Source organism: Homo sapiens, chromosome 3, assembly GCF_000001405.40.
Source record: "Homo sapiens chromosome 3, GRCh38.p14 Primary Assembly".
Taxonomy (NCBI): domain Eukaryota; kingdom Metazoa; phylum Chordata; class Mammalia; order Primates; family Hominidae; genus Homo; species Homo sapiens.
Window position 1 is genome coordinate 71,669,369 of NC_000003.12, and position 15,939 is coordinate 71,685,307.

Genomic DNA, 15,939 nt, shown 5'->3' on the forward strand with positions numbered 1-15,939 from the left:
TCTGCACATGTATCCCAGAACTTAAAGTATAATATTAATAATAATAAAAACAGGAGCCGCTTTCAAAACCTGTATCGTCATGGATAAATACATTTTGTCCCCCAACAATTGAATTTTTGAACTAAGTGTTTTGTCTGCAACATGTAAGATTTTAAAATTGTGTTTAGAATGAAATATACAAATGGATACGTTAAATGGCTATTGAGATTTGTTAGAAGGGGGGTATGTTATAATCACAAGTCACTGATGCATTTTTATGGGCAGAAATCTTCCCAGACTCTGGTAACACAAGGGAACACTCTCAACTACTCAACGTCTCGGTGAAGGCCTAAACATGACTTCAACCTTTGCTGTTTTATTTTGAGTGACATTCTAGGGCTGCTCTGTCTGGAGTCTCCACATGGGCAGAGAGACATAGATTATTTAGCAGAACAAAAAAAGGAGAAGATCAAAGCAATCAACTCTCATTTTTGAACTCTTAGAATTTGACACATACTTTCTAGCAAAATGTCCAGTAGAAACTATTCATACTGCACAGCTCCTGTCCTGGAGACTATAATTCTGCTACATAAACACAAGAGGCATAAACCGTCCTTGAGGACAAGACACAACACTGACAAGAACAACTGGATTTAAAACCACAAACCTTCAGTGAAGTTTCTACAGGCCCAACCATTTCTGCCTTATCGTGTGAAGATAAGGAATATTTGTCTATCAGCGGGACTAGTGACTTACTTAATTACCTATAGGTGGGTTTCTAAACTGTCGAACGTCAGGGGGCTCTGGTAGATTTTACCTGTCCTCAAACCTCACCTCCTGGTACAAAAGTCTTCCAGGTGTTGGAGATACTCACATAAATGAAACATGGTGGCTACATTTTCTTTAGAAAATTTCCTACACATGGGGAGGAGACAGCTTTTGCAAGTAAATATCTGTTGTACCACTTGAGATAAGGTAGGTGCCTCTTCGCAAGGCTCGCTGCATTTCTTTTGCCCCTCCTTTTTCCCATTTAGTAACCTTCCTTCCTAAATCTCCTCCATTGCACCCCCCCAACCCCCGTGGCCCCAGCCACGGCCCTCGTCTCAGCCCCAAGCAGCCCAACTTTCTTCCGTGTCTTTAGATATCTATAAGCACTGTATTTCCTACAAGTACGACTTAGGAATAAAAAAAAGTTTTTGGTGGGGAGAGGAAGCTAGCTACTGGTATTGTTTTTGTTAAAATAAGCAGGTATTACTTTTGTCCTTAACAATGGGGGTCTTTGTGGAAATTGAGAGGTTTCTGGATTCTACTGTAGAATGGAATTTTAAAACAACTGGCCACGTATCTCAAAAACAGGCCCACCTTGGTCAGACCACTGTGGTACCATGAAGCATTACTATCAAGATCTATCCATGAGAAACACTGGATAGCACGAAAAGAGCCTTCGCGTGCATTGTCTCATTTAATCTTCACACTCTGTGGTGGGAGAATTCACTATTCCTGTGACTCAGATGAAGAAACTGAGACTCAGAAGTTAGGTGGCTCACTTAAGGTCACAAGACTAGCAAGTTGGGGTGTAAGGCTGAGGAAGCCAGTCTTCTCACTTCGCAAACCAAAACAGCAATCCCCCAAGCGCGGAGAATGGGTTTCCTAAGATGGGATCTCGGATGAGCTGGTGGGAATGTTGCTCCTTCAACTCATCTAACAGCTGAACCTCTGTGTGCAGAGCTGTGTGTGATGTAAAGGTGGGAGAAGGCCTGGGAACCCTTAATCTAGTGCCACACTTACAATGGCCATACACACTATGCGTGGAATGAGTCGAAGGCCATAGAGGAGGCTAAAAGAAAACTCAAGTGCCCTCTCTGTTGCAGGAAAGGAAGCTCTTCTCTGCTGGAGAGCAGAGAACAGGCTTTGGGGAGGAGGGGGCCTTGGCTCACCCTCAGAGCATCCCTACCGGGTGAGCAGGAGGGGGCCCAGCAGAGGGCTGCAGAGAGACCAGGGGCTTGGCTGGCCGCGGCTTGGAGCACCCGTGTCGGAGAAGAGTGGGAGAGACAGCATGGCAGCATCCGGAGCCGCTCGCAGGGGGAGGGCTAACTCTCGGGGTATTGTGCTCATTGCTGGAATCTAAAATACAGCTTTAAATTATTAAGCGTCTTGGAATGCCACAAACATTTTAAAAACTGCCTGTCAGGATCAGAAAGACACTTGAAGGATCTTCAAACTGAGTGTCAGAAATGAGAGATGGGCCCGTGTGACCCAACTTCACTCCGCATACTTAACCATCCCTCGCCTCATTCCCTACTCTCCGGGCGGCGGGGCGGCTGCGTGGAAGCAGATCCCACAAACTTACAAAATAAGATCCCACGGTATATAGATTTGTGCATGCTGCCCACATATTAAAGGAAACACTCATCAGGGCCTTCTTTTAAAAATTGTGCTATAAAGGTATAAACCCTCCATTTTTTTTTTTGGAAGCCTTTTTGGGAAGGACATGAAGCACCCCCAGAACAGTCAGGGGACCATATTTTGTGCAACAGCAATTCTTCTAAATATAGACCATAGAGCAATCACAAGAAGGATGCAAGCGATGTCCTTGGATGCTCCGCAGAACAGGAGGATGACAAAGCTGCTAAGAGGGTTTTGCATTGAAATCCTGCGCTCCCCGATTTAGCAGAAGGCTTATTTCGCCCTCTCACATGAGTGGGCTGCCGGAGTGGCCCCAGAGCAGTTGCATTTTGAAGCCATTACTTTACCTTGTCCTAGTCCTGCCTTAACAGGTACATAAATTCCCTGGACTTGGGGAGTTTCATTTTTAACCCAGCAGAAGTAAGTTTACTTAACCAAACGTGGGCTCTCTCTAACATTTGCCAGATATCACCGGGCGATTTTTTTTAACCTCATCTTCACAGCAGAAACATAAAAGGCGAGATCTATAAACATTTCAGATTCATAATATACTACTTCCTCTAGGTTCTTCTAAGTGGAAACTTTGCTCTTGAGAAAAGGTGAGCATCTACTAAAAAGTAATTTTCTCTTGTCAGGAGGGCTCGCCATGCACTTGGTTGCAGCTGAAATGTGTTTTAATAAGGCCTTTCTCCTTTACAAGCCCGGCTTGCTTTTAGTTCCATCCCACAGCCTGAGCAGGGAGGAAGATGGCTCTCAGATATCCTTTTGTTACCCTAATCAGAGCCAGAAGGGCTGTATTGACTTTCAGGCCTTGGGGAGTTGTAGTTCTTTTGTATCCATCTCATCCAAGAAATCAAGTTTGATTAATTTGTCATCAAGTAAAACGTGTGATCTGCTCGGAGCCCGGCCTTTGAAGTGGAAGGATGAACTTGGGCTGCAAAGTCCAGGTCAGCGGGCGAAACAGCAGTGGTGCCGAATCGAACAAGTTCTTCTCCGCAGAGCTGCCTGTTCTCATTTAAAACATCTTTTTTCTTTTTTTTTTTAAACCTTTTCCACACACGTCTTCTGGGTTGGACTGCTCCCTGGCTGGGGCCCTCTTTTGTTTACTTTAATTTAAAAAATAGAGTTATCAGGGCTACAAAGCAAGTAAGACCCAGAAAACATTTAGCCACTCCACAAGGCATGGGGGTGGAAGGATTTGACCTCTCTACAATCTTAAAAGACCACTGTGAGTGAGAGAGCCACGAGGGCTGAACCCGGTGTCAGCACGTGCTTCTGGAATGAATAATCGGAAGGGGTCTCCAGCTGGGTCATGGGACAGATGCTCATTTATGATGCTCTGGGCTTGTTGACCTGCACTTAGTGGAGTTCCCAAACTGCTGAAAATGCATAAGGTAGTGGCCGCAAGATATTATTTAATCCTAGACTTAGTGTCATATTTCTTGTTCAGATGCTATATATGCTTTATAAAGAGTTACAGGGCTTTTAAAAATTACAGAGTAAGCAATCTTTATACATTCCACAGTATAAGGATCCCCATATTTCACATGCTGGTGCACAGGCCTTTTGATGACTGCTACCCCTCAGGTATATACATGAAGACACAGTGAATTATTGGCCAGGAGTCAAGGGCTTGTTTGGCTTTCAAAGATGTTTAAAAAGCACCAACAAATTATAAACAGCCTCTGTGGTTACTGAATTCAGTGTCTAAGCTATTATTATTATTGGAGAATTTGAAAACAATAATGAGATTAGTAAAAAAACACTCAGCTTTAGAAATCTAAGGGGTTTTTGACTTAAAAAAAAAAACACCGCTTATGACAACATTCAAACATTCCTTCATTCAAACATGCATTGCATTCATACTTACATGCCAGGTATGTGCAACTCAAAAATGTCTAAGATACACTTCCTGCATTTCTTATAGTCTAGTAGTTCAGTTTTAATATTTACCAATCCACTAAATTGTCAGCTCCATGAAATAGGAATGATGTCATGTCTTGTTTTTGTATCCCCAGTGCCTAACACATCATAGCTGTTCAAGAAATATTTGTTGAATTAATGAGTCAATATTGTATATGGTCTATATCTCAGCAATACTAAGGCCTATTAACTTTCCTTTAAGGTAGCCAGGATTAAAATAATAATATAATAATTATATATATATATATATATATAAAAAACATAATATGCACATCATACAGGGAACTCTTGGGAGCTTCTCACAATTGTCCCCTCAGTGACAAGTTTGAGTGTCTGCAATCCAAGATGGACAATAGGAGACTTATGCTTCAGTGAGAATTTGTTCAGCCTCTAAAACATTTTCATCAACTGTACTTTTTTTTTTTTTTTTTTTTTTTTTTTTTTTTTTGAGACAGCGCCTCGCTGTGTCGCCCAGGCTGGAGTGCAGTGGCATAATCCCAGCTGACTGCAACCTCTGCCTCCTAGGTTCAAGTGATTCTTATGCCTCGGCCTCCTGAGTAGCTGGAATTACAGTCGTGCACCACCATGCCCAACTAATTTTTGTATTTTTAGTATTGATGGGGTTTCACCATGTTGGCCGGGCTGGTCTTGAACTCCCAGCCTCAGGTGATCCACCCAGCTCAGCCTCCCAAAGTGCTGAGATTACAGGCATGAGCCACTGCGCCCGACCCTGAACTTCCTTCTTATGTTATGATGGCAATAATGCTCTTAGAAAATAATTGGAAAGTTCATTTCGGTTTTAAGTTGGTTTGTGGCAAATCAACGCAGAAGTCAAGTGCACAGAACTCAAGTAAATGGGGATGATTTGTTTTTTCCCAATATGGTACAATAAGGTAGAAAGATCATAAACAAGCAGTTAGAAGACTAATGGGTTTGGCCACAGTGTTGCCACCTCAACACTGTTTGTTGTAGGACCTCAAACAAGTTAAGCTGGGCCAATACCTGAGGAGGAAAGTGGGAAAGTTTCCTTGAAGCAGTTCATTCTCTTCACTGTATGGATGAATTGATACAGCCAACCAATGGAAGTACCATTTACTAACTCTTTACCACATCCAAAGGGCTGAGCTGGGTGCTTCATATGTTACTGGCTTTGAAGAAGCTCTACCTTGCCCTTCTAAAAAGGAGGAAACTGGGGCTCAGATATGTTGAGGGACTTGCTCAAGGCACAAGCGAATAGAATTTCAACCCAATAAAGCAAATTCCAAACTAAGCTCTTTGCATTGCGTCAGTTTGCTTTCTTTCTGATTGTTCATATTCAAGGCTAAATTGGGCATCCCGGACAAGTTCAAATCCAGAGAGAATCCTACGGTCTCCCTGTACTCTTAAGTGGCAAAACCACCAAACCTTTTACCAGAACACCTAACATTCTGGTCAAGAAACCAAATTCCATCTTCTCTGCTCTTCTCCTTTCCAATCCCTGGTAGAAGCATTTGCAAACACAAATAGTTAAAGGTCACCAGTAAGAAGTAGAAGAGGGATTTTGCATGATCCATCTGTGCTGGGATAATCCGGAATTGGCCGTGAATATGTTGAAGGGCCTACACGCTACATCAGTAATTCTTTTTCACCTGCCATCCACACCAGCAAATGTGTTATTCTTGTACATTCTTTGGAGAAGAGTGTTAGGCATGTGTGTCTGCAGATTGGGCACTCAATAAGTGAGACAGAAAAGCAAGCTTCAGATATAAATTTTTTAATTCCCAGTTAAAACCTTGAGAAAATAAGCAAGTAGATGGTGTGTCCTAGCTATAAACTGGTTTTAAGACAAATCTGCTTACATGGAGTTGTCGCAAAGAAGCAGGTTAGAAAACATGCATTTTTTCCACATAATATATGGAATGAAGAAAAGATCATTGATTTTAACAGCCAGGAGATTTGGGATATAGCTGCAACTTTGCCACCAACTACTTGTGTGACCTTGAACGAATTCTTTATACTTTCTGGGTCATTTCTTCATCTGTAAAATGAAAAGTTTGAACTAGGCCAGTGATTTTTCCATCTTTTTCTTAAAGCTGTAAAACCTTTTCTTTGTAAACAAACTCTCATAAGGAATCTCAAAATTCTTGCACATCATATCTTCAACTTCCACCAAGGCAGCCTCACTGAAGAACAGGCTGGAGCCACAGTACCTTAGATGTATCTTGGTTCTGCAACTGACTACTGGTGTGACCTTCGGCAAGTTATTTCACCTCTCTGAACCTCATGCATATGTTTCCACATACACAAACTGGGGACAACAATGACAGCATCTACCTCGTAGAGTGTTGGGGAGAACTAACCTCTATGCTTAGATGGCATGGAACTCCATACATGCTATTGTTATTGTGGATATTATAGCTATGGACAGAGCCACACACTACAGCAAAAGCACATTAAATTCTGCCCAGTTACTAACTTACGGGGGTATCAATTGCTTATAGTGTGTCATTTTGCACTCATCATTTAAAAGACTTACAAATAAGTTTTCTGAACCAACGTTCATAGTTAGAGAAGATTCTATATGTAAAATGATGTTTATCACCTGTGATAAAACCAGAGAGAAATGCAAGTGTCTCCTGTAGGTCAGGATAATGGTTATTTTAGTGGAGAGGGCGGGGACACAAGAAAGGGCTCCTGGGGTGACCGGCAAAGTTCTATTTCTTGGCCTGCTGTTATAGAGTGTTCTCCTTGTAACAATTCAGTAAGTTACACATTTGTTTTGTGTGGTTTTCTGTACCTTTATTTTACAATAAAAAGGTTTTATAAAACCTTTGTTTCATTTCATAAAACAAAATCAGTGAGTACATAAGTTATACTTACTGGCTTCCAAAATGTTAAAATTTGGCCATGTGATGCATGTCACTGTGTGTTATTGCTTTATTACACTTTTAAAAATACTTCTTAAAATGTATTTTACAATGAAAACTTTGCCATATCTGAAAGTGTTTCTGTGGAACCACCCTTCTAGGGAACACTCTTTGAAAGCTGATGGACCTCTGTTAAAATGTGGATTCCAAGATGTTTGTTTTCAAAAAAAAAAAAAAATTCTGAAAAACAGTCTTGTCCTTTATAACTTGACTATCTTCATGAAACACTAATTATTTTCGCCTTAAAAAGGGGACACGGCTTTAGTGTTTAACCTTCACTTCCATCATTCTTTTCCAGTAAGCATGAATCACAAAACTCAAATGTTTCCTAAGATCTGAAACCTTTCTCTAGGTCCATACTTTATATAATCCTATATGTGCAAAAAACAAATGATTTAAGTTTCCTGAGTTAAAGAGGAAATTGGGGAGTAAGAGCTTGTCCACATCTTTAATGCTTAGAGGAGCACACACATTTAGCCCTGCCATCTGTACAAATGGTACCAGAGTTCAACATGCTTACGATTATAAAGAATTTATGATTTATGCTTGCTAGTTAAATATGCTTATGATTTAAACTTATTTTCTCTGGCAAGAAATAAGCTAGTCAGCACCACAGCCTAGCCAGATGATGGGAAATAGAAACATATTTTAATGACATATATTTTAACTTGCTGGCCCTTGCAAATGCTACTGTTTTTTCTTTTCTTCATGTAACAAAAGAACCATCGTCTTGTAGGATTCCAGAGATTTTTTTATGCATTCATTAACGAAAAGCAGTTAAAAGTTCTTTAATAGCAGTTACTGCAGCGAAAGGATCACTGAGGAAGAAAAGGCATGCATGGTCTTGGCTTCCAAGAAAACTGTACGTTAGGTGACAAGGCAGAGGAACCTATGCTAATAGAACAACCGAGAACACATTCCAAAAAGTGCATCAATAACGACTAGATGATAAAGTACACACAGAATGCATGGTGGCAGTAATCAGATGCAAATATGAGAGGGAAACATTATGAAATTTTAAAGCCTTCCTAGTGTTATGCCCTGCTCTTCAACGATTTCATTAAATTCGCTGTGTTAAAATTAATTAGGCATCACACATAAGATCCTGAATTGCTTGTTTCTGCAGGGAGAGATAGGAAAGTCTGCAGATGAATGGAAGAAGAGTTTGTTGGTACGTTTTGTTTGTTTTTAAAGGAATATATTAGACAGCCAGAAAGGAGGAGTAAATTCACTTTACTTGCCGAAACAGGGGACAACTGAATCTCACCAGCAAATTGCAGCACAAAAGAGCAACGAGAGTAATTGACTTATTCTAAAACGGAACCATTCTTAATAGAGGGTAAAGAAAAAGAATTAAAATAAGCAAGATACGTTTTCTAAGAGACCCAGATGAGCCCTATTATCAAATGTGTTCAACAGGGAAGTGTAAAAATAACAACAGTTACTCCCCATCAGAATACCAGATAACCTACTAAGCGTCAGACTCCATGCTAGCAGCGTCACACATATTAGAGGTGTTGGACAGAAACTTTTAATATGTGTTGTAATAAACAAGGTTATTCTAATCACCACACACACACTGGAAATCTAATAATGATTAAGTGATGTGGTTGATTAAACTGCATGAAATTTTTAAACTGGAGGATGAAAATGACATTTCTATACTATAAGAACCTCAATACAGAATGAGAATTAGTAGCAACAGATTACAAAAGATCTCAAAATAAAGTTCTACAAACTAACACTTAAACAAACCCTGTGAACTACTACCCTGAAAAATGAAGAAGCACAAATTCATAGCAATATAGTCCCAAATTAGAAAATTGCAAAACAGTCTAAACATTTGCACTAAACACATAAATCACTACCTTTTCAAGTAAGAAAAGTATAGTCTAGTCTTACCTTATTGCTGCAAAAGGCTGGAATAAAAAATACTGACTTATAGAAGCAACTTTCACATGTATCTGAACATCAAACACAACACACAATATAAAATCAAAAATAACTAGAACAGAAAAGTTTTCAGTCTGACCTTAAAAATACTGAGCAAATCACTAGATGAAGCCAGATCAAAAGGAAGGGCATTACACCAGCTTGTAGCCAGATGTGAAAGGGTCCCCAACTGCACAGGGCACAGATGGTATAAAATAGGGGGGTGGGGGCACAAGCAGATCCAAAACATAATCAAACAAACCTGGTTCAACTTACACAGGTAAGACTATTCTAAAGAATTAATAACTTTCAATGTAAGATTTTAAATTTGGGACAAATAATGTTAGCTGTCTCAAGCTAAAGTATGCTCACTAGTTTAAATTTTGAAATTCTTTTATATAATCATTGAAATAAATTCTCCATGAGAATATATTCAAAGTCATGGTGACTTGTTTTAAATGAATACTGAAAAGACAGTGTTAAAACTTAAAAACAAAAACAATGGTTGTAAGCCACATTATCTGATTAAAGTCTGAGAACTTTGGGGAGAATTTAATGTATATCCACAGCATCAATACCTCTATTTGAAAACAGAAACACTGTAAGTTTATTAAAATGTTCAAAGTCCTTTAATATTCACCATTCATCATGTAATGTAAAGTGCTAAAATTAAAATTTTCACCCTAAGCCTTCATTAAAAGTTGCTTATTTGTATGTGAAAAGATGAGAGGTAGCATAAATTTTCTATAGAAAACTCAGAAACACTCAATTTACTTCATGTTCAGTTCTATAATGCAAAGTTGACACTTTAATAGATCCGAAATAAACATCTGTTCCAAAATAAAAGTTCAAGAAAAATTATCTGACTTCGATATTAGAAATTGAAATTTTCATAAAGAAATCTTGCATTTCACTAAATGAGTTGGTAACTTTTTTCAGGCAGCAACCAAAACAAAAACATTTAACACAGATTCCTTCAATCTCATGATTTCTGAAGGACACAAAAGCATAGAATATCCAAAAGCTATTGTATTGGATATTCTAATAAGGTACACTCAAGACACACATATACAATGGAACTCTGAATTTCAGTAGCAATGATGAACAAAAAAATACTGACTTTGCAATGACTTTTGCTTATCACTCACATCGTTTAGGGAATACTTATTTGATTTTTTTGACATTTCTATGTATTAAAGGATCTCTCCAGTTTAGTAACAGCTTTGCTAAGCTACGTTTTGAAAGTGACAATTAATTTTAGTGGAAATTCATTCCCAGGCTACTTTGATAGTCATTTGAACAGTTTTGTGTTATTTTACATGCAATTTTATAGCTCTATAACGTTCATTTAATCTTGTTCAATGATGCTGAACCCCAGATGCCATAAGACATTATAGAAAAGTAGTTACTGCACATATGGAGTAACTACTTTTCTGAACACTAATTTCTTTTCTCTTAACAGACTGAAATGGTATTTAGAAAAGAGAAAAACCACCACTCTGTATTAAAGGCTTTATATTATGGACTTCCAGGGATGGGCTCCCATGACTGCTGTGGTCCCAGCCATAAAGTTCTTATTCACGAGCATCATCTACTCAAGTCTCAGTATTAATGGTTTTCTCCAGCCTTCATAAGATTGTTGGTATCATACATTGGAATCAGGTCACCTGACAGAGCTTAGGGTTGGGAGGCTTTCCTCATTTGTCATATGTGGGAGTTGGATAAAATCAGGGGTTCTCCAAGAGCGATCTGAGCACCATCAGCATTAGAATCACTAGGGCACTTGTTAAAAATGCAGATATCCTCCCAGATTTCTAGTGCTGGGGTCAAGAAATGTGAATAATAAGTAAGTATCTGAGTGATTTTGCTGCATGCTAAGGGGTGAGAAGCACTGGTAGATGATCTCAAAGGTCCCTTCCACTCTAAAATTCTAAGAGTCCCTGAATGTTCTTTTAAAAATGGATTTATGTCAGCAACATGAAAGAATTTCTAGAACACAAGACAGTGACTTTTGGCCTGAGTGGGCCAATCTGAATAAGTATTCTTAGATTTGGATGTATATGTAAAAATAATAGAAAATAAAATCAGAACAGTATAATCTGACATGAAAGGAATCTATTTGGGATTTCTTCTTGGGAGAAGTAGAGGGGCAACCCACTCTAATTGCTATAAATGACCACAGGTTCAAAGGGACTTTTCGTTGCCTCTCAGTCCCTATTTTTTCCCACTTCACCCTCTGACTCCTCCCAGCTGTTGAGATCCAGGCTTTTTACAATCCTGAGTCACCAAACTCTTGAGTAATTTTAACTGATCTCAATATATTCTTTTCAGAAGTGAACAATTCACAGGCAGTCCTCTACTTTCACTTGTAATGAGTAAAATCTCACAGAAACATACAATGTAGGAAAGGTGAAGGGTAGAATTACATTTTTAAAAGGAAGTTCCATATTCAGAGTGCTAAAAAAAATCAACTCCTAATTTTCTCTCTTTGGGCATAATATTTGATGAAATATTTTCCATATCTCCTATATGTGAGTTTATTTTATTCTTTTTCTTCCCAATCACTTATAAGGCCAATGAGAGCCTAGGATTTGAGATATTTTAAGCACATCTGGAGCGATCTAGCTTTGACACATTTTTATTAGGTGCATGAAAACTAAATGTCTTATTGCCAAGTATCATTTTTACATTTTCTCGTCAAATTTTTATAAAAGCTTAAGAGCAAAATGCAGTAGGATCTTAAAAAAATTCTACAAACATAGCTGGATAAATTCTGCTGCTGAGCCAGAACTGTTGGCTGGAAGGCAGCGCCACCATGCGATCGTTCCAAAGGCTGTCAGTTTTGTCTAAAGACACAAGCTGGGATCCTCTAAGAGTTGGGCAACTAATAGCAAAAGCCCACTTCCTGTCATAGGAAGGTTATTTTCAAACTCCAAACCCCAGCACCACTTCTGTCTCTGAGAGGGAGAGGGAGAGAAGGAGGAGCTGTTTACAAACAGGATGTCTGATTACGGAGTTACACCAGTGGCCAGATTGGATCAGATATTTAATGCTTGATTAGGGTGGCTAGTGGGCAGGTTAAGGCTGGCAGATTCTGAGTACTCTCCATTTAAGGACGCCTGCACCGGGATACAACTTGCCGACTTCAATACCCAGCTCTGTGGCTGGCTAGCCCTACGTCTTTAACAAGGGACAAGTTCGGCCAAGGCTCAGTTGGTGGATTGTATATTATGTCTATAGGACCCAATTATACCTAAAGTTTCTAAGCTATAAAGTCTTGTGACTGTGTGCATGGTGTAGACATGGGCTAAACTCAAGAAGAGGGGTGAGAAAGAGTCATCTTAATCTTTAATTTAAAGTTTATTAGAGTTGTGGTTTCCTTTTCATGTTTTTGCTTCATAAAGTGTACCACGAATCTAACAGCAATATTATATTAAATGTACATGTTTGCAGTAAATTACACCCTCATTTAAGAAATGTGGAAAAGTTGGGGGGAAAGAGGAAATCTTAAAACTGAGTTAAGTCAGCAGTTCAGCAAGTGCTTACGAAAGACAGTCAAAATATAGGCAAGTTACTTTAAATGGGTATTATTTGTCCTTACTTTCCCAATGTAGGCAAGTGCCTGTGATATAACAATTTAGGGAATAATGGGAGAATAAAAAGCATATTAGTTTCAATCAGATTTCCTGGCATATATCACAGACCCTAAGGAATTACAAAGACAAAAAAGCAAGCTCTTTGGTTTCTGCATGGTTCTTTGCAGACTACAAGGCTGCCCCTGCAAGCACTTGGATGAAAAGACCGGGATTCTACTGGAAGTTTGCACTTTCCCCACATCAGCCAAGATGGGTAAACTGCCTTAACACAAAAGTCACATGCCCCACAAAATATTTCCTTCTATCTCAAAACAGTATTAGCTTCTTTAATCTAAGAAGGTAATGAGAGGTTTTTAAACTGATTAAATCAGCTTAGTTCATACAAAGTCTATTATGATTAAATATTCAATTAAAACAATTTCCAAACCAAAATCTGACAAAATCCTCTCTGAAAGTAATTTAGATGATAGGTTTTTAACATTAGGCAAATTAAATCCTTCTCACAGTTGGTATTTTCTAAAGGGTCAGAAACAGTTGCAGAAGTTCACTGGGGCAAAAATCTACTTTGTGTGCTAGTCATGTTCCATGATCATAAACAGAAACTAGAAATATTAACGTGAGCCTAACATTCCTATTTATTTTTACTTCAAAGGCTACATACATGCAAAAGTTGAACATGTCATCACAAATGCTTTAAATAAAGTTCAAAAAATAAAAATACTTCAAAATCCATTTACTTATGGAAATATACATGACAATTAGAGTGAAGTCAATTATATCCTTTTTTCAATCAGAAAAATACTTATATTATAAAAAAGTTTTAATTCATGTCCAGAATAATTTTTTAAAATTCTTGAGTCATAATTTTAAAACAAGTTGAATGTTAGTACAATGTTTGGAGAAACAAGTCCTAGGCTTTTGCTAACTGGATCTGATATTCTTATACTTCATTTTGAAATCACTAAGGAAACTCAAGTTTAGGGAAAAAAAAAAAGCATTTTAAGAAACCTATGATGGTAAGTATTATGGCTGAGGTGGTTACTAACCAAGTGAAGGGCACAACTTCCATAAGCAGATAATGTTCAAAGTCCTTTAAAATGTTTGAATGGAGAATTTTATCTACAAACACATAGTGGAGGCTTAAAGTAGCCTCAAGTCTCTCTGCTGGTCAACACTGCAAGAGGAATTAAAAATCCCAGGTACAGTGAAGTTCTGAGTGCACTGCCCTTTTGAAAAATGTGTGAGCAGGCACTAGCTCCCGTGACTCCAAAGCCGACTGGGGGAAGTGTCTTCAGATGGCCCTGCCCTTTATCAGGCAAAAGCAGCCAAAGGCTTGGCAAAGTCAGGAGAGGGAAATCAGCGTATTCTGAGCTAGTCTCCATGGTCCAGAGGATGACCATTTCCTTCTAATAAAACCAATATTTCTTTGGTAGCATAATACAATATATATCAACAATCCCAATAATTCATATGAGCAGAATGCACTCAAAGTTCAACTTTGTAAATGTTCACATGCATCCTGGAAATGAGATTTAACTTCCTGCACCTACATGAAAAAGGGTGGGGACAGCTGCCCAGGCTGGAGGACTACTGATGATGAGAAATGACACACAATGTGAGCAGGGAAAGGGATCATTTAACAAAATGTGTTAGCGTTGACTGGGAAAGAAAGCCCTAAGTGGGTAAACACACCCGAACTTTGCAAGGAGCTTAATTCAAACAATTAAAATATCACCTTCTCTTTAAATCAGAAACATCAGGTTTCCTATTGGAAGAAATCCCTTGCTACCACTCTAAGCCTTTGGTTGAAAAGGCCAAATTAAAATTCGGGTTAGAAATGTTTCCACAGAGGGTCCAAAGACTTAGAGCTTGATTTATATCCTGATACTGAATTGTGATTATAGTTTTCATGTTATGCAATCCAACTATTATTTTCCTTTTATCACTAAAAAAAAATGTTTTAAAAAGGAAAATTAAAGATTTGTGTGCTGTCAGTGCAAAATCACATTAAGTATGGTTTTTCTTTTCCCTGGGACAGAAAAAAACAATGCCCAGCTCACAGTACATAGGAATGTGTCACAACAAATAATCAGAAGACAGATTTCTCCAAGCTAGTGTTCCTCCTTGTACAGTGTGGTATTCAAAAGCAGTATTGTCACGATTATGCATATTCTCATTAACTAGGTACAGCAGAGCTACTTAAAGGGAAACCCATTTCTTGTGCCTCAATGAAAGGGGAGTGTAGAAAACAATAATTAGGCTGAATAAGGAATTTTAAACGGCAAAAAAAAAAAAAAATCAGAGTGAAAAGAACAGAGAATTTAGAAAGCCAAAAAAAAAGTTTTTTGTGTGTGTTTTTTTTAAAAAGCAAGTAATGTGACGGTAGAAACCCACACAATCTCCCCCCACCCCACCTGCCACTTTGAGTCCTAATTGCCCATCTGCAAGGACAGAAACCCACTCTAAATTGACCAGCATCGGCTTCGGCAAGTCTTCTCTTCACTCTCCCTCCTGTTAAGACCGTTTCCAAAACCAATCAGCAAAGGACAAAGAATTCTTTACAGAGTGCAATTAGTGTTTTCCACGTCCACCTTCAAAAGCATGATGCTCTTCATGGGCTAAAGGACAGAAAAAAAACAAAAAAGAAAAAAAGGAAAGAAAACTTTAAGCAAAGGATGGGCCAACCCTCCTCTAGGCATCTCATTCAGCTTCCCCAAATGTTGGCAAGAACTCAAACACCTTATTTATTTATTTATTTTTTTGCCAGTAACTGTTAGCTAAGGCGTGCATTTCCTGAGAAACGTAATAATGAAAATTAAAACAAGGAATAAACAAGCAATGGGCATGCTGCCTGTTTCTTCTTGCTGTGCCTGGGAGGATGAGTCATCTCAGCAAGCCGATGAAGAGAGTATGTTGGGCTGCAAGCAAATGCCGCAGGGGAAAATGTGCCCCACAAAATGCATTGCAGGGGGTGGGGAGAGGGGGTGCCTGACACAACCCAAGACAGAGCCGCTTACAAGCCTATCTTTAAAAATAAACTAAAAATAAAACAAAACAAAGAACCACACCAGGGTGACAGCAATTATATCTAGGTGCCCCTGCTCCCTACCTCTCAACACTCTCCATGGGAAATGAAGTTTCATAAAATTGCTAAGTTTTATTTTTCCAAATCAAGTTTCCCCCTGCCAATAGATATT

General features: G+C 38.7%; 1 protein-coding gene across 11 annotated transcripts in view; it reads right to left on the minus strand.

The window, feature by feature from the left end:
* The window catches only part of EIF4E3 (eukaryotic translation initiation factor 4E family member 3), a 95,411-nt gene that overhangs the window by 10,006 nt on the left and 69,466 nt on the right, over positions 1 to 15,939 (minus strand). For 8 of the 11 annotated variants that reach the window (NM_173359.5, NM_001134649.3, XM_047448063.1 and 5 more), the window contains one exon: positions 6,046 to 15,360. The exons of 2 other annotated variants lie outside the window; for them this stretch is intronic. In NM_173359.5, the coding sequence (NP_775495.1) occupies positions 15,314 to 15,360 (47 nt within the window). In that variant the 3' untranslated portion in view covers positions 6,046 to 15,313. Of the gene's footprint in view, positions 1 to 6,045; positions 15,361 to 15,939 lie in introns of those variants that run through there. One more of the 11 variants, NM_001134650.1, reaches the window with a different exon arrangement.